Source organism: Homo sapiens, chromosome 12, assembly GCF_000001405.40.
Source record: "Homo sapiens chromosome 12, GRCh38.p14 Primary Assembly".
Lineage (NCBI taxonomy): Eukaryota > Metazoa > Chordata > Mammalia > Primates > Hominidae > Homo > Homo sapiens.
Window position 1 is genome coordinate 63,610,522 of NC_000012.12, and position 20,371 is coordinate 63,630,892.

At 36.5% G+C, this 20,371-nt stretch overlaps 1 protein-coding gene across 26 annotated transcripts in view; it reads right to left on the reverse strand.

Moving 5' to 3' along the window:
* DPY19L2 (dpy-19 like 2) overlaps nt 1-20,371 on the reverse strand; it is a 109,893-nt gene that overhangs the window by 51,609 nt on the left and 37,913 nt on the right. For 19 of the 26 annotated variants that reach the window (XM_047428722.1, XM_011538215.3, XM_024448947.2 and 16 more), the window contains 5 exons: nt 15,948-16,005; nt 13,519-13,610; nt 10,717-10,816; nt 7,630-7,707; nt 6,783-6,869 (listed from right to left, as the gene is read on the reverse strand). In XM_047428722.1, the coding sequence (XP_047284678.1) occupies nt 6,783-6,869; nt 7,630-7,707; nt 10,717-10,816; nt 13,519-13,610; nt 15,948-16,005 (415 nt within the window). Of the gene's footprint in view, nt 1-555; nt 1,775-5,570; nt 5,645-6,782; nt 6,870-7,629; nt 7,708-10,716; nt 10,817-11,762; nt 12,122-13,518; nt 13,611-15,947; nt 16,006-20,371 lie in introns of those variants that run through there. The other 7 variants (XM_047428727.1, XM_017019192.3, XM_024448954.2 and 4 more) reach the window with 6 other exon arrangements.

Consider the following 20,371-nt stretch of genomic DNA (forward strand, 5'->3'; position numbering starts at 1 on the left):
AATAAATTTCTAGAAACATACAACCTACCAAGAGTAAATTATGAAAACATAAAAAAAACTCAACAGATCTATAACTAATAAGGAGATTGAATCAGTAATAAAAATTTTCTCAACAAAGGAAAACCTCGAACCAGATGGCTTCACTGGAGAATTCTATGAAACATTTAAATAAGAATTCACACCAATCCTTCTCAAGCTCTTCCAAAAAATTGAAGAGAACACTTCTATACACATTTTATGAGGCCAGCATTACTCTGATACCAAATCCAGAAAAAGATACTACAAGAAAACTACAGGCCAGTACCTCTGATGAATATAGCAAAAAAAAAAAAAAAAAAAAAAAAAAAAAAAAAACCACACACACACACAAATATTTCTTTTAAAAATGAGCAAAGGACTTGAATAAACATTTCCCCAAAGAATAAATACAAATGTCCAACAGGTATTTAAAATGATGTTCAACATCACTTATCATCAGGGAAATGTAAATCAAAACCACAATGAGATACCACCTCAAAACTTAGGATGGCCATTATAAAACAAAACAAACCAAAACTAAACCAGAAGTAACAAGTCTTGGCAAAAATGTAGAAAAATTGGAATGCTTATGCACTGTTGGTGGGAATATAAAATAGTGCAGCCAAAGGGCACATCAGGTAGTCTACACAGAAGAGTTTGCTTCAGAGAGCAGCAATATTAGCCATAAACTAACCAGTACTTTCATTCCAGCTAACAAATCTTAAAAGCAAGACCTGAAAAGATCAGCCTATGTTCAAGTGGCTTAACTGCATCACAGAAAAAAGCTCAAGAATATCTATAGGAATAAGAAAATAATCCAGCAGCTAACAAGGTAAAAGTCACAAAGCCTGGCATCAAAGTAAACATTGCCAAGCCTGCAAACACTTAAGAAAACACAGCCCCGATATGAGAAGAAGAAACAATTAATTGAAACCGACACAGATGACAGAATTAGCAGGTGGAAGCACTGAGGCAGTTAGTATAACTGTATTACACATGGTGAAGAAGTGGTAACAGAGAAAGAACATGTTAACTAGAGACACAAAAATACTTCAAAGATCCAAAATGAACTTTTAGATATGAAAACTACAATGACTTAAAAGAGAAATACACTGGATGTGATTAACAACAGGTTAGATACTGCAGAAAAACAACCAGTGAACTCTTGAAGACACAGCAATAGTAACTATCCAAAATTAAATTAAGAACAAAAATAAACATAGGCTCCATGAACCACTGAACAATTTCAAGCAGCCCCATATGCATGTAGTGAGAGTCCCTAAATGAAAGTGAAGTGGGGAGGCAGAAAAATATTTGAAGAAATAATGACCAAAATTTTTCCAAATTTGATAAAAATTGTAAACCTAAAGATCTAAGAATTTCAATTAATCCTAAATACAAGAAACATAAAGAAAGCTATAGTAAGGCACATTATATAAACAAACTGCTCAAAATCAGTGGTAAAGAGAAAATCTTATCTCTAGCTAGGAATAGCTAGAGAAGTAACATATTATTTACAGACGAAAGCGTAGGGATGTCAACAGATTTCATAAGAAAAAAATGCAAACAACAAGACAAGTCAAGCAGCATCTTTTAAATTCTTAAATAAAAGGGCTGTTAACCTGCAATTCTACACCCAGGAAACATACCTTTCAAAAATGAAGGCAAAATAAAGACTTCATGACCAGGTGATTTGCACTAAAGGAAATGTTAAAGGAGGTCTTTCAGACAGCAGGAATACAGTAGGTCAATCTGGCTGTACACAAGTAAAATGCACCGAAAATGGTAACTACAGGGTAAATATATAACATTTTAAAAATTTCAAATACTTTTCAAAGGTAATTTACTGTTTAAGTAAAAACAAAAATTTATTGAGATTTCTATATCACATGTTTAAGTAAAATGTATGACAATAACATGAAATAAATTTAAAAATGTACTTTATCAAAATATGTGGGATGTTGATAAAGCAGTACTTTGAGAAAAGTTTATAGCACTAAACACCTGTGTTTAAAAACAAAAAACAAGAAAGGTCTCAAGTCAATGACCTTGCTTTATACCTTTAAAAAAAAAAAAAAGGACTAGGAAAAAAGGAGAGCAAAACCCAAAGTAAGCAAAAGAAATGAGGTAATAAAGAATGAGTAGAAATCAATGAAACAGAAAACAAAAGCAGTAGAGCAAATCAATGAAAACAAAAGCTCGTTCCTTAAGAAAATTAATAAAATTGATATACCTCTAACCAGACTGATCAGAAAAAAAAATAGAACACAAACATCTAATACCAGGAATGAAAGAGGAACTATCACTACAGATACTATAGATACATAAAAGAAATAAAATATTATGCCTTTGTCAATGAATTTGACATCATAAATAAAATTTAAAAATTCCTTGAAAGATACAACCAAAGTTCACTCAAGAGGAAATGGATAACACGAATAGCCTTATACCTTATTAATGAAATGGAACTTGTAGTTAAAAACATTCCTACAAAGAAAGTCCTAGATGGTTTCACTGGTAAATTCTACCAAATATTTAGGGAAGAAATCATAAGGATTTTACACAAATTCTTCAGAAAACTGGAGAAGAGGGAACACTTCATAACTCATTTTATGAGGCCAGCATTGCCATGATACCAAAAAAGACAAAGATGTCACAAGAGAACTATGAACCAATTATTGTCATGAACTTAGGTGCAAAATCGTAAGTACAATTTTAGAAAGCTGTATCCCACAAAAAATAATAAAACAGCATGACCAAAGTGAGGTCTATTCAAGGAATGCAAAGATGCTATAACATTTGAAAATCAACCAATATAATGCAGCACATTAACAAAACAGAAAAGAGAAACTATATGATATCATATCTTCGAAATTCATTTTTGAAAAAACTCAGCAAGCTGAACAGAAGGGAACTTCTTTAAGCTGATAAAGGGCTTCTCTGAAAAATCCTATAGCTAACACAGTTACTTAAGGATGAAAGACTGAACAATTAAACAAAACTTACATTTCAAAATGAGCCATTTAAAATAAGATATTTTAAAATACTAAAATATGTGAAAGAATGACACAAATCAAAATTAGAAAAACTGAGAAATGAGCTGACAGAAATCAAATAATTTGAAATAAAACAAAAATAATTTCAGACATAAAAAACTAGAAGGAATATGAGGAAATGAACATAATAATAATGCCTTAAGAGCTATAAAAGGTGAAGAGAAGAAACTTTTAGAAATAAAAAAAGAAATAAGATAAAAAGTATTCAAGAGAAAGTGATACGTTTATAACGTATCAAAACTTGTATAACTTTTAATAGCAACCCTTTTGGACAGAAGTAAAACAAGTTCTCAAAGCAAAAAATAAAAGAGACAGCTGGGCGTGGTGGCTGACACCTGTAATCCCAGCACTTGGGAGGCAGAGGCAGGCAGATCACCTGAGGTCAGGAGTTTGAGACCAGCCTGGCCAACATGGTGACACCCCGTCTCTACTAAAAATACAAAAATTAGCTGGACGTGGTGGCAGGCGCCTGTAATCCCAGCTACATGGGAGGCTGAGGCAAGAGAATCTCTTGAACCCAGGAGTTGGAGGTTGCAGTGAGCCAAGACTGCACCATTGCACTCCAGCCTGGGCAACAAGAGCGAAACTCCGTCTCAAAAAAAAAAAAAAAAGAAGAAAAGAAAGAAAAAGTAAAAATAAAAGAGACAAGAATTTTACATAGAGCCAACTTCACTTTCAAGTAAAAGGTGACAAAACAAACTGACAAACACATCAGAATTGAAGGAATTCTCTTGTAGAACAAGACTAAAATAACCAAGATAACTGGGAGATAACGACATAAAGACTGGTGATAAATAAATGCATATTTCTTCACATAAAAACATGAAATAAGGTTGATAAGGCAGAAAGTACAGTATGCAATACTCTGTTCTGACAATATAGATACAGAATTAGTAAAAAAAATAAAATGGGTGAAGAGAATGAAAGAAGGATATGCAAAAAATTCTTTATTTCTCATAATCATGTGCGTGGTGCAGTATAGCAATTCTCATGCACACACTTTGGGAGAAGGCAAATGGATATATGATATTCTATCATCCCCTGGCTTCTTGAGACCCACAAGAAACAAAAGCAAATACAGGATAGAAAGAGTTAAGTAAAAACCCTACATTCTTGAATTTGATTTGGAAATACCCATCAGAACTTGTGAGCTAGTTTACCATAAATGCATGCACACACACATATTTTCATGGTAGATTTTTAAAGAAAGAGAGCCTGCAACCTATAATATTTCCTAGCTCTGCCCACTAATAAGGCCTAGAAACAATGACCTACTCAGTATCAATGAGCATCCTTGGGTCCCAGACTGCGGTCTTAAAACACCATTTCCCCAGTAAAGGCAACGAGGGTGCCTTGCAGGAATGGCTTCCTCCAGGTTTTGGGCAGGAGTACACAAGAGAGACCTGGAAAAACTTGTCATACATGACACAAGTATGCTATCAGACCACGAGTGTCATGTCAGAGAACTTAGTAGAAACCTAAAGAGGCTCCCCTGGTCAACAAAGAAACAATCTGAGAATGAGTAAAGATGTTAATTTCAATTAACTTGAAATACATAAAAAATGTTTAAATCCCTATGTTCCTAATGAAACCTAAACACACATATACACAGCCCAAAGAGCCTACATTTGGAAGATGACAGGGAATCAATTCATTATTTTTAAAACTTGCAAATAAAGAGGTAAATCAACATTTACTTTACTTCTCCTAAATGAACTTTAGATGACAGATTAGAATGTGACCACTTTGCAATCCCTAATGAATTAACAGAGCCAGCATAAGGCACTGAAGGCTAGTACCATAAAGAGAGACATTATGTGCCTTTTAATGAAAGAACAATACTAAAGACTTGCAAAAGTGATCAAGCCTGAAGCAATCCAAGTTTCAGATCCAATTTCTAATATATCAAGCTATACCATGAGACAAAGGAACATGCTTAGCTACACCACAGGAACTCAAAAAGCAAAATCTGGACCATGAAATCCTCCACATGTTCTATGACTGTGGTTCTTCAACAAATAAATTTCATGAGGATAAAACCAGGCAGATATGCAGGAAACTTGTAGCTAAAAAGAGAAACTTAAGTGATGAAACTATAAAGGAATGCTGGAAAGTTACTATCATAGCAGTCAAGATAGTCATTATCGTTTTAGGGCAGTACAAGGGAGTGCTTTGGGACAGGTCACATGGAGGCTTCTACACTCATTTAGAGAGTTATAATTTTGATATAATGGTAGTTTAAGAATGTTTGCCACATAATACATAACACAGTCAGCCCTCCACATCCATGGGTTCCAGTTGCTGCAGATTCAACCAACAGCAGATAGAAAATATTTGAAATAATAATAATACAACAGTTTAAAAAGTACAAATGAAAAAACAATACAGTATACAACTATTTGCATAGTATTTATATTGCATTAGACGTTATAAGTAACCTAGAGATGATTTAAAGTATATAGGAAGATGTACATAGATTATATGCAAATAACACACCATTTTATATAAGAAACTTGAACATCTGCAGATTTTAGTATCCACAGGGGTTGGGGGTGTCCTGGAATCAATCCCTGCAGACACGAAGGGGACATTGTACTCATCAGTATTAGCCAGCACTAAGTCAGCACACAAAACATTTGCTTTATGCAGTTTTATCTGTACTATATTTCAAAATAAAAAAGTTTTCATTAAAAGAGGTAGATGAGCACACTATTAGGAGTCCTCTACTCTGTAATGGTGAAATAGTTTGACAAAATGTTGGAAAGAAAGAGCATTTTTTCTGGGAGAGAAAGAGGAGGGATTACTATGAGGGAAGAAGGATACGGAAAGCAAAAATGTTAAAACATAAGGGCAATCCCAAAAGATTAAATCACTGCACCATACATGGAAAAGTGCTATATTTTGGCATTACCGTAGTTGGTATCATTTCTGATCAGTGTGGAGATGGGAGGTACAGGAGAATATTCTAGGTTCTGGCTTATAGATATCAGAAGTATAACTACAATGTAATAGAACTGATTTACTAAACCACCCTTCCAAACACATATCCAAAAGAGTGTCATTCCATGTAGTTCCCGTGAGGAGACTGCACACTTATTCTAATTATCTTGCCATCACTCAAAGTAGTTTGGAACTACACTTTCTAAACTGCCTTCAGAAATAATTTAGTTATAGGTGCAAAATAATCGGTCTTATGACTTTACTGTCACACCATCGTTTGAGCAAGATCTGTATTACCCAGCCCAATCACACAAAATATTCACAAAATTTTGGTCATTTCCAAAAATCAAATCCACTCTTGAAAGGCAAGACATACTAAAGAATGTGCCATAGTCTGTGAAGGAAACTCAGAGGAGTTCCAAAAATGTTCTGGGCAATGGCAGTGTCACTGCAATGAGTACTTAACCTCCTCAAGTGACTTAGGAGAAAAGAAGTCATTTTTATCATAAAATGGGATATGATTAAAGTAAGTCTTATTACTTTATGATCATTTTTAAATATTTACTTGGGCACTGTCTTAAAAAGAAAAACTTCCTACTATAGTATTTTTCAAGGATAAGACAGATAAAAAGCTTTGCTTGGGAAGAATTTTGTCATGTTGAGTGATAATCAGGAAAGGGCCTATTTATTCTCTTATACCTGTTTTAGACAGGAAAACATGCTATTTGGCAGGTTAAAAAAAACCAACTTTATGAACTAAACACTTACCCACGTCATTAACAAAGATGAAGAATAATAAGAAGATAAGTACATTGAATTTCCAAACATCAAAATGAAACTAAGGGTAACTGAAATCTGAAAAAAATGAAAAAAATACATTTTATGGTTATTACATATATTGGCATAATGCATATTTTGTAGGTATATAGCCATTTCTAATGCAAATTTATTTGCATAAAGATGAATGACTCTTGGCCAAATGATAACAGAATTTCAAGTCACTGCTAGATTCTAAGTATTAAAATTCAAGACCATAAACTCTATCTGGCAGAATTTAACTTTTTCTCCATCTGCTACTTGGAACAATGAAAAATAAGTCTATGATTTCTATTGTTTTAACAATGGAGTAATATAATAAGAAAGACTTAGTTATAAATACCAGTTTTACTAATCATATTTTTGTTAGACTTCAGGACTTCTATTATTTATGAAGCTTTACTAACTTTTTATGTTTTTAAGGAAGCTATGTTTGGGACCTAAGCCAAAAACAAAATTGCAAGAATATAAAATTTCAGTTAGAGTGTCATATTCAGGCAAAATGCTAAAAATCTCATGTCTGAGAAAGAAAAGGCAGTTTTAAAAGTAGTAATAATAATAAGTAAAACAAAAATAAAAGTTCTAGAGAATAAAACACATCTACAGTCCAGTTGAAAGTATAATCTGTTATAATATGTCATCTATAATATACATTTCCAGTTTTCCTTCTGGATATCACCAATACCATATGTATTAAATATTACCAAAGAGGAGGTACCGTATAAAACAGAATCACTTCGATTTTATAAACTCTGAGAACCTATCTTAATATTTGACTTATATATATTAAAAATGTTACCATGTTCATATAAATGATCTTCTGAAATTTGCTTGGTTCAATGTATCCCACAACATACATGGGAAATAATGATGCTATCTGAAATAATATAAAAAAGCAAAAGTGAAAAAAAGTATAGAAAACTAACACTTTACTATTCACAGGCAAAGTAAATATAAGAGGAGGGCTACAGTTCTAATAATGGTAAGCAAAGGAATTTGAACCAACCTTCCCACTAAGAACTAGAATGGCTAGGAAAAATATAAATATATAAATAAAAATATTTTTTAAATACGTATAAAAGCCACAGACTATTAACAAAGCAAATGCAGAATTAAAAAGATGGATGGCAATCTATACCGATGAGCATGACATTTTAGGCCACTTTTCTCCCAGAGGTATCTGCCAATTTCAACAGAGGCAGATGCCTTCCAGCTGAGAGGCAGTTGGAAGACCAACAAGCTGAGCAGGCATTTCAGCAGATTCAGCAGAGTGCACCAAGAAGGGTGCTTTAGTTTGGAGTTTCAAAAGGCCATACTATAATAGTGAACCAGAAATCAAGCAGCCCTCAGAAAGACTGAAACCCATCTACGGATCATCTCAATCTGATTGCATAAAGGTGGTTCAAGATTTATCAGTGCTTTTTACTCGCCTCTCCAATTTTTCATGTATGATGTCCAGCACCACATCAAAAATAACCCAACATAGATGGAGATAAGACACTATCACTAACATGATAGAAATAGATCCACAAAAGATTTAGATCAGGGATCAGCACATTTGTTATATAAAAGGCCAGATAATAAATATGTTATGCTTTGTTGGTCACATACAGTCTCTTGTATATTCTTTTTCTATTTTTGTTCTATAACCCTCTAAATATATAAAAATTATTCTTAGCTTGGAGATCACTCAAACACTTCTCTGGCATAATCAGATATATCTTTAAACTATGCTTCAAATGTTCAAGGAAATAACTGATAGGATTGAAAATTCCAGGAGAGCACAGAAGTCATAAAAAAAAAATTGGGCCAGGCATGGTGGCTCACGCCTATAATCCCAGCATTTTGGGAGGCCAAGATAGGAGAACTGCTTGAGCCCAGGAGTTCAAGAGCAGCCTGGGCAAGATGGTGACACCTCATCGCTACAAAAAATTAAAAATTAGCCAGATGTGGTTGCACAATTAACTAATTTTAACCTTAATCTACGAAAAACACAATTAAGAATAAAATCTTAAAGTACTTCCAGAAAATAACATTGAATTATCCCTCTGTAAGCATGAAACACACACATACAAACAAAACTATATACATTAGTAAAGAAAAATGAAAGCCTAGTATATATCCAGAGAATGACTAGAAAAACATTAACAGCAATATCAAACTTCTTTTTTTTTTTTTGAAACTGAGTCTCACTCTGTCACCCAGGCTGGAGTGCAGTAGTGCAATCTCGGCTCACTACAACCTCCACCTCCTGGGTTCAAGCAATTCTCTGCCTCAGCCTCCCAAGATTACAGGAGCCCACCACCATGCTCAGCTAATTTTTTTGTATTTTTAGTAGAGATGGGGTTTCACCATCTTGGCCAGGCTGGTCTTGAACTCCTGACCTCAAGTGATCCACCCGCCTCAGCCTCCCAAAGTTCTGGGAGTACAGGCGTGAGCCATCACACCCGGCCCCAAAGAGCTTCTTAGTTTCATCAGTATCACTGGATTAATAAATTTGCTTGCAATGAAATGATGCTCATTAAAAATCTATTCTACTCTGTTGGCATGTGCAAATAATGAAAACCATAGAATAATGTCTGTGTTATAACCTGAAAGGGGCCAACTTTTATGAAGTTAAACAGACGGAATACTTTAAACATGCAGCACCAATTGAGCTGGGGTTATAATTTCATTCTTTGTAGGCTATTGGCAGCATGAGACTTCTTGGCAGAATTTCTCACTTCCAATATAGAATATTATTATTATCATCAGCATTTGTTATGTAGGAAGGAGCTCTGATGGAAAATCTTAGTATCATGAAATGTCATCAAAATTCTCCATTTACTCTCTGCTTCCCCAGTTCAGTTTCTTGTTACTAGTTATGTAGTTGCTTTAGAAACAGGATATGGGCTCAGCTCACTTAAGCAATGATGAGCTTTATGATTAAAGCTCACAGAAATGGTTCCAGGTAAAATTCTGCTATACAGACAAAACAGCCAACATTCAGCTGAATTAGAAGCAGAACGTCCTGCTGTGAAGAGCAGGATTGGCCCTTGGCATGCTGTGTAGCTTGGCACCCAGAATGATTCCCAGGACAAAAGGAAAATCTATAGGTAGATATATACAGATATTATCTCAAACACCAAAAATAACATTTGTGAATAAAAATAATACAAAAAGTCTTTCACATGCCGAGCCTTAAAATCTGTCAAACTAACCAATACAGTAAAAGAATGTGGAATTATATTATTTCATAAAAATCATACCTTTAAGTAAACTTTATTCCCTATTTTGAAAATCTTTTAGGGCGTAAATGTAACCATATTTAAAAATTTATATGGAAACAACCAAGTACATCTTGCGTTCAACTTAATTAATATACGCAAAGGAATATAAATCATTCTATTACAAAGACACGTGCACCCATGTCTTCATTGCAGCACTATTCACAATAGCAAAGACATGGAATTAACCCAAATGCCCATCAGTGATAGACTGGATAAAGAAAATGTGGTACATATACACCACGGAATACTATGCAGCCATAAAAAGGAACAAGATCAGGTCCTTTGCAGGGACATGAATGGAGCTGGAGGCCATTATCCTCAGCAACAGGAACAGAAAACCAAACACCACATGTTCTCACTTATAAGTGGGAGCTGAACAATGAGAATACATGGACACAGGGAGAGGAACAACACACACTGGGGCCTGTCAAGGGATGGGGTGGGGAAAACATTAGGAAAAACAGCTAATGCATGCTGGGCTTAATACCTAGGTGATGGGTTGATAGATGCAAAAACCACCATGGCATACATTTACCTACATAACAAACCTGTACATCCCGCACATGTACCCCAGAACTTAAAATAAAAATAAAAATTAATTTAAAAAATCATCTTACCTGTGTAAAAAGTATAAACTGAGCAAATTGCCAGGGAAGCATAAAAGCAACATTGGAAAGACAGAGTGCAATGAAGGGCCTTCTATCATTGCTTGAGGTCCTTAATAGAGAGAATTGATACCAGTAAGTTTCACCCTAAAAATGGGCTGTCACTGAAAAGAAAGACTAATTGCAAAATGATAAAATCTACATTATTCCATTACCTTTACTATAATACAACAAAATATAGTTAACTTCTTAAAGTATACTAAAAAGAACTTGAAATACTTCATTCCTTGCATGAAGCAATCAAAATTAGAGTTTTAATATTAACATTGTAATTTACCATTAAATATTTTAAATACAAAAGCTCTTTTTCCTCTACATATGCATGACATTAGAAATTTATTACTCCAGCAAGGAGGTCAGAAAATAGGATGCAGCACTGCCCCTGCACACCTCAACATGCTTCTCCTGTATGTGTAGCAACAACTTTTATATGCCACAACTTTTGTGCTTCAAAAAACTTTGAAGAGAAATATAAGTGCTGACAAAGTAATAAGTTAAAAACTATGGGAAAAATTTAAGGAGAAGGAATCTTAAAAAATTAAAAAATCATTCTAGAATTCAGCTGAAGCATGTGGAAGTTTAAATTGTCCATTCTGCATTACTGAGATGTATTGGGAACCAATACCTTTTACCACAGAGAATTACAGTAACTTTTAGATATGAAAAAAGAAACACAAACATTTTACATAAATAGTAAAACTGCAACTCTTCCTTTTATAAATTCTGTATTGGATTTTGATGAATCTTTGTACAATCGTATATAAATTTTCAAAAACAAAATTCTAAATGTTCATATTGTTTACTAATATTATCATAAAATACTCATTATGTACTTTGTAATCTTATATTTTTCAAACAAAAATTACTTTTGACTAAGACACAGAGTATAGCACATGCCCTCAATGATACAACCCTAAATGTTCTAATTAAGACATTTTATTCCATGAAACCCCTGACTGACCAGACTGATATCACTTCAAAAAATAAAAATAACCCACCTTCCTAGGAATTAAACTGGGAATGAATAGCAAGGGGTGATGAAGAATGGGCAGCTTCCATCACCTAATCTTTGAGAGAAGGCAAAGTGTAGAGCAAAGATATAGAAATCTGAATGAGGAGGAGGTTCCTAAATCCAAATTCAACCGCAGAATATACTTGTCAGGTTGGTAAGAAATCAGAAGTTAGCCTGCTCCATTCTCAAGGTTTGTGCCACCCCAGTACACTACTATTTACCACTCTTCAATTAGCTTTATCTGAGTGCCACAAATATTTGCATGGACGTGTGCAGTGTTCTGTGGTTAAAGAGATAAATATGGCATGGTCCCTGTTTCCAGTGGTACTTTTAAATACATATAATTGGCCGGGCACAGTGGCTCACACCTGTAATCCCAGCACTTTGGGAGGCTGAAGCAGGCAGATCACTTGAGGTCAGGAGTTCGAGACTAGCCTGGCCAACATGGTAAAACCCTGCCTCTACTAAAAATACAAAAATTAGCTGGGGATGGTGGCGTGCACCTGTAATCCCAGCTACTTGGGAGGCTGAGGCAGGAGAATCGCTTGAACCCGGGAAGCAGAGGTTGCAGTGAGCCGATCGTGCCACTGCACTCCAGCCTGGGTGACAGAGCAAGACCTCATCTCTAAATAAATAAATAAAAATTTGTGTATGTGTAGACGATTCATAAATTTACTGTTTTAAAAAATAAGGAAGACAAACAAATGACTTTTATATAAGGCAGAATCTCCCAGGGACTAGTAGGTGAAGAATGGGGTCCTCTGGGAGTTTGGAGGAGATAGTGATCATTATTTCATTCAGTGAGAGTTCTCATTAGTATTCTATCAAACTTATTTCTCTGATAAGGTTATTTATACTATTCTACCACTTATGGGGTTTTTTGTTCATTTCTCAGACCTCTTAAATATCTAAAATGCTTATAAATGTAATCCCTACAAAAAAAGTGTATCCAAAAAAAAAAGTTTGAAATGAAACTGGTTGTCCTGTTAGAAACATTGGTTGTTCAGAAATGCTTCATAAATATGTGAATATATATACTCCTTATCCATCTAACTCCGCATTTCCCAAATTCATTTGCACACAGAACACTTTTTTCATGGCACAGTTATCAAAACCACAGGTTAGAAAACAATGTCAGAGTACTTAAACTGTGAAGAGAAAATGTAATTGTTTCTCAAAAACTTTTGAATCTTGGCAAACTATATACAAACGCATACCTTTTGGTTTATTAAAACATAATGTAGTTATCTAAAACCTGTAGCCTACACTCTTAAATGGAGAGCAATTTTTACATAGCAATTTTGAATTATTTTCTTAACTCTATACTCAATTTACTTTTAAAATAACTAAAAAATGGTCTAAATTTGGTAATTACAACTTCATAGATTGAAGTGTATATATGTAATATATATATTTACATTTTTTTAGAGGGAGTCTTGCTCTCTTGCCCAGGCTGGAGTGCAGTGGCACAATCTCGGCTCACTGCAACCTCCACCTCCTGGGTTCAAGCAATTCTCCTGCCTCAGCCTCCCAAGTAGCTGGGATGACAGATGCACACCACCATGCCCGGCTAATTTTTGTATTTTAGTAGAGATGTGGTTTCACCATGTTGGCCAGGCTGGTCTCGAACTCCTGACCTCAAGTGATCCACCCACCTCAGCTTCCCAAAGTGCTGAATTGAAGTATATTTTAAGAAACTTAAATTATAATTTATTTGCCTTCGTTTTATAAATCGAAGTTACCTGAGAATCAAAGTTAAAATACACATCTGAAGTACAAGGAAAGGATAGGAAAAACTTTCACGGAGAGGTGGTGTCCACATCACACGGGTGGCCTGAAATCAACAAAATGCCCACTTTACATCCTATTTACTACAACAAACATATTAAAAAACCAGGGGTGAGTTTGTTTTAGTAATTTTAATACTAGGCTCACTAGATCCCATTTCTGAGTGTCTGGCATAGCTTCTCAGTTTTTGAAGCTCTCTTAACTCATGAGGCCATTATGTAGACAGCAATTAACTACCATGTCCAGAAACCAGCAACAGATATATCAGACCGAGCAAAAGGAAACCCAAGGGACAAACAAGATTGTACGTATAAGAGTTGTGAAAATTCTGGAACTGACCAACTAGATCCACAGCCCAGCCCTGCAGTATGATCCTGGCATATGATCCTGGCATCCCAGGCTTTGGGATATATGCATGCCAAGACAAATAGCTAAACAAATGTCACCTAGGTCATTTGCAAGCACCAAGAGAGTTTCTACATAACAAGTAGGAATGAATATAAATACACACTTCGAATAGCTAGGATTGCCTCAGAATTTGTAAAATGTACCGTAAAAAAAGGTTAAGTATATATTTTAAAAACAACTAGAAGTATTTGGGAACTACAAATGTGATGCAAGTAATAAAGGTATTAAATTTTCATACGAACTTTAAAATTACTTCTAAGACATATGGGTCAGAGTATTGGAAAAATTTTCCATCAAAAATTCTGAAATTCTAGAAAGAATGTGAACTCTTATTACTTTGCAAGAGTCTTAAAAGTTATTGCTTCTCTTCCAAGATACCAAAATTGTAAATGTTGGAAGAGGAATTATGATACATATAAGAAAGTCAACTTATACCAACAGTTGTCTGGAACACTCAGAGAAAAGCCTTTGTCTTTATGTCAGCACATTGTTGAATGACAATGCATTTGTTTGCTTTAAAATAATATATATAAGGATTTTATGTATAATTTTTATGATTCCTTTATCTAATTGATTTTTAAAAATTAACCCAAGAGCAATGGATAAAAGTACTTCTACCCTGGCTTGGCATGGTGGCTCACGCCTGTAATCCCCAGTATTTTGGGAGGCCAAGGTGGGTGGATCATGAGGTCAGGAGTTCGAGACCAGCCTGGCCAACATGGTGAAACTCCATCTCTACTAAAAATACAAAAATTTAGCTGAGCATGGTGGCACATGCCTGTAATGCCAGCTACTCAGGAGGCTGAGGCAGGAGAATTGCTTGAACCTGGGAGACAGAGGTTGCAGTGAGCTGAGATCACGCCACTGCACTCCAGCCTGGGTGACAAAGCAAGACTCTATCTTGAAAAAAAAAAAAAAGTACTTCTACCCTATGTAACCTGTGACATAACATATTAAATGTATTGCTCCCAAGAGCTAGTAGTCAGAATCTCTCTCTTTTTCAATGCCATATCCTCAGCATCTAGCAGAGCATGGACATGGTATGTACTCAATAATTTGTTGAATGAATCCATCATATTTGAAATAAGCTTCTATGAGCTCTTTTTTAGGTGGACTATGTTTCATTGGGCTGAATTAGTAAGTTAATGTCTATTTTGAATTGAGCATTTTGCATTACTGAACAGACAGCATGATGTAACAGAAAGAAGTGAGGGAGCAGGTGGCAGTGTCTTAACTGTGTCCCTGCTGTCAGGCCTGAGGCCTCTTTCATTGTTGTTAAGGGGAGTGCAATGTATACAAAGTTTCAGTTAGGCAAGATGAATAAGTTCTGGAGATCTGCTATACAACATTGTGTTAATACTATATTGTATACTTAAAAATCTGTTAAGAGGGCAGATCATATGTTACTTATTCTGACCACAATAAAAAGTTGAATATATATGTTATATATATATAATATATAAGTTTTTATAAAATATAACTATAATTTTATAATTTATAAAATATAAATTAATATATATGTGAGGTTTTAGAGGCAGACAGATATAGAATGGGAAATCCAGCTTCATCATGTAGTAAATGTGGAATGTGGATAAGTAACTTAACTTTCTCTAAATTTAAATTTCATAACTTGTATGGTGAGGCTACCACCACCCACAAAAAAAGTTTAGTGGGAATAAATCAGATAATGTGCATGATATGATTCAACTCAACAAGTACAATATTTCCTTTTCTCTACAGAATATATGTATATGTATATATTTACTAAAAATAAGGCAAGAGATTTCATGTTTGAAATTCTAGCTATTTAAACATTTCAATCAACATGCTTAAAATATCAACTTATTACACAAGGGTCTTTAAAATATTGTGAAGTCATAAGTAGTATACAATTAAATATTGTTTTGATGAGTATATTTCCTTGTTCCTCTACAGCCTCTTCTATTTCTTAAAAATTGCTTTCTAGAAAACAAACCTCTCCATGGTTGAAAAAGAAGCACAGTACTGTAATAAGACCTCCCAGTTGAGTCCCACTGTAAAAAAAAAACAAAAAAAACAGAGAATACAATCAAAATTCATGTAAAATACAGTGAGTTTTTCACAAAATTACCTCAGAATTTAAAATCACAGTTTTCTATATTTAAAACATCATAGTACTAAACCATACCCATGTGGTTGAAGTTTAAATCCTGAATGTATAATTCTAAAAAGTGTACGTATAAATTAATCTCAATTGTATAATTTGTTATAGCTAAAATACTTTCTAAATAAAATACATAAGGTGTGAACATAATTTTTTTTTTGAGATGGGATCTTGCTCTGTTGCCCAGGCTGGAGTGCAGTGTCGAAATCTCAGCTTACAGCAACCTCCGCCTCCTGGGTTCCAACGATTCTCCTGCCTCAGGCTCCCAAGTAGCTCGGATTACAGGCGCGTGCTGCCACACCCGGCTAATTTTTTTACTTTTAGCAGAGACAGGGTTTTACCATGTTGGCTAAGCTAGTCTCGAACTCCTGACCTCGTGATCCACCCGCCTTGGCCTCCCAAAGTGCTGAGATTACAGGCGTGAGCCACTGTGCCCAGCCACATAAAATCATTTTTAAGAAACAGACTAGCACTTTAGAGTCTAGATCACATCCTTTGAATACTCTGAATAAAAGCAAATTTTTATCTTTTGAAATTGGATTTAAGGGACTGAGAGATGAAGATGAGATTCTAACAGTTTCATGTAGCATTAACTTAGAACTGTCTAAACTACTGCAAATATTCTTTACTTGAGTCCCAGAGAAGCAATAATGCAGAATACAAAAATCAGATGAAAGATAAAAACCATTTCTTTTGTTGTTGTTATTGTTGTTGTTGTTTTGTTTTGTTTTGAGACAGAGTCTTGCTCTGTCACCCAGGCTGGAGTGCAGTGGCGCGATCTCGGCTCACTGCAACCTCTGCCTCCCTGGTTCAAGCCGATTCTTCTGCCTCAGCCTCCCGAGTAGCTGGGATTACAGGCACATGCCACCACACCTGGCGATTTTTGTATTTTTAGTAGAGACGGTGCTTCACCATGTTGGCCAGGCTGGTCTCAAACTCCTGACTTCAAGTGATCCGGCCACCTCAGCCTCCCAAAGTGCTGGGATTACAGGCGTGAGCCACCGCACCCGGCCAAAAACCATTTCTTAAATTGCCTTTTTGTGATCATGTCTGTGTATGAGAATGCAGATGCTCAATCCCACATCTGTGTAGCGTTTCTATGCTTCCATTTATCTTCCCTCCATACACCACTTCCCTAGCCTAACACATTCTAAGCACCATGAGGACAGGGACAGGTTCTTTATCTGTCTTGTTCATTACTATATCCCCAGCTTCACACTTGGAAGATTAATAAATACTGGTTGAATTAATGAAGAAAGGAAGAAAACAGCAGAGGAAAGCTCATGGGAAATGATTTACCATTTAATAAAGTTTCACTCAGAAAATACAAAGGATGAACTTCAAAGAGGAAGAAATTGAAAGAAAGAATGTGTGAGTAGCAAGGACCAATTGTCAATGGAGGAACTGGGGAAATGTGGATAAATCAAAGTAAGATGAGTTGGTGAGGGGTGGAGCCAAGATGGCCGAATAGGAACAGCTCCAGTCTACAGCTCCCAGCATGAGCGACACAGAGGACGGGTGATTTCTGCATTTCCAACTGAGGTACTGTGTTTATCTCACTGGGGATTGTCAGAAAGTGGGTGCAGGACAGTGGGTGCAGCGCACCGAGCATGAGCCAAAGCAGGGCAAGGCATTGCCTCACCCAGGAAGCGCAAGGGGTCAGGGAATTCCCTTTCCTAATCAAAGAAAGGGGTGAAAGAAGGCACCTGGAAAATCGGGTCACTCCTACCCTAACAGTGCGCTTTTCCAACAGTCTTAGCAAACGGCACACCAGGAGATTATATCACACACCTGGCTCGGAGGGTCCTATGCCCACGGAGCCTCCCTCATTGCTAGCACAGCAGTCTGAGATCCAACTGCAAGGCGGCAGCGAGGATGGGGGAGGGGCACCCACCATGGCCAAGGCTTGAGTAGGTAAACAAAGCAGCCAGGAAGCTCGAACAGGGTGGAGCCCACCACAGCTCAACGAGGCCTCCCTGCCTCTGTAGACTCCACCTCTGGGGGCAGGACGTTGCCAAACAAAAGGCAGCAGAATCCTCTGCAGACTTAAATGTCCCTGTCTGACAGCTTTGAAGAGACTAGTGGTTCTCCCAGCACGCAGCTGGAGATCTAACAACAGACAGGCTGCCTGCTCAAGTGGGTCCCTGACCTCCGAGTAGCATAACTGGGAGGCACCCCCCAGTAGGGGCAGACTGACACCTCACACAGCCGGGTACTCCTCTGAGACAAAATTTCCAGAGGAATGATCAGGCAGCAACATTTGCTGTTCACCAATATCCACTGCTCTGCAGCATCCACTGCTGATACCCACGCAAACAGGGTCTGGAGTGGACCTCCAGCAAACTCCAACAGACCTGCAGCTGAGGGTCCTGACTGTTAGAAGGAAAACTAACAAACAGAAAGGACACCCACACCAAAACCCCATCTGTACGTCACCATCATCAAAGACCAAAGGTAGATAAAACCACAAAGATGGGGAAAAAACAGAGCAGAAAAACTGGAAACTCTAAAAATCAGAGTGCCTCTCCTCCTCCAAAGGAACGCAGCTCCTCACCAGCAATGGAACAAAGCTGGATGGAGAATGACTTTGACGAGTTGACAGAAGAAGGCTTCAGATGATCGAACTACTCTGAGCTAAAGGAGGAAGTTAGAACCCATGGCAAAGAAGTTAAAAACCTTGAAAAAAAATTAGACGAATGGCTAACTAGAATAACCAATGCAGAGAAGTCCTTAAAGGACCGGATGCAGCTGAAAACCAAGGCACGAGAACTACATGACGAATGCACAAGCCTCAGTAGCCAATTCGATCAACTGGAAGAAAGGGTATCAGTGATGGATGATCAAATGAATGAAATGAAGCGAGAGGAGAAGTTTAGAGTAAAAAGAATAAAAAGAAACAAACAAAGCCTCCAAGAAATATGGGACTATGTGAAAAGACCAAGTCTACGTCTGATTGGTGTACCTGAAAGTGATGGGGAGAATGGAACCAAGTTGGAAAACACTCTGCAGGATATTATCCAGGAGAACTTCCCCAGTCTAGCAAGGCAGGCCAACATTCAAATTCAGGAAATACAGAGAACGCCACAAAGATACTCCTCGAGAAGAGCAACTCCAAGACACATAATTGTCAGGTTCACCAAAATGGAAATGCAGGAAAAACTGTTAAGGGCAGCCAGAGAGAAAGGTCAGGTTACCCACAAAGGGAAGCCCATCAGACTAACAGCTGATCTCTTGGCAGAAACTCTACAAGCCAGAAGAGAGTGGGGGCCAATATTCAACATTCTTAAAGAAAAGAATTTTCAACCCAGAACTTCATATCCAGCCAAACTAAGCTTCATAAGTGAAGGAGAAATAAAATCCTTTACAGACAAGCAAATGCTGAGAGATTTTGTCACCACCAGGCCAGCCCTAAAAGAGCTCCTGAAGGAAGCATGAAATATGGAAAGGAACAACTGGTACCAGCCACTGCTAAAACATGCCAAATTGTAAAGACCATCAAAGCTAGGAAGAAACTGCATCAACTAACGAGCAAAATAACCAGCTAACATCATAATGACAGGATCAAATTTACACATAACAATATTAACCTTAAATGTAAATGGGCTAAATGCTCCAATTAAAAGACACAGACTGGCAAATTGGATCAAGAGTCAAGACCCATCAGTGTGCTGTATTCAGGAAACCCATCTCACATGCAGAGACACACATAGGCTCAAAATAAAGGGACAGAGGAAGATCTACCAAGCAAATGGAAAACAAAAAAAGGCAGGGGTTGCAATCCTAGTCTCTGATAAAACAGACTTTAAACCAACAAAGATCAAAAAAGACAAATAAGGTAATTATATAATGGTAAAGGGATCAATTCAACAAGAAGAGCTAACTGTCCTAAATATATATGCACCCAATACAGGAGCACCTAGATTCATAAAGCAAGTCCTGAGTGACCTACAAAGAGACTTAGACTCCCACACAATAATAATGGGAGACTTTAACACCCCATTGTCAATATTAGACAGATCCCCGAGACAGAAAGTTAACAAGGATATCCAGGAATTGAACTCAGCTCTGCACCAGGCGCACCTAATAGACATCTACAGAACTCTCCATCCCAAATCAACAGAATATACATTCTTCTCAGCACCACACCGCACTTATTCCAAAATTAACCACATAGTTGGAAGTAAAGCACTCCTCAGCAAATGTAAAAGAACAGAAATTATAACAAACTGTCTCTCAGACGGCAGTGCAATCAAACT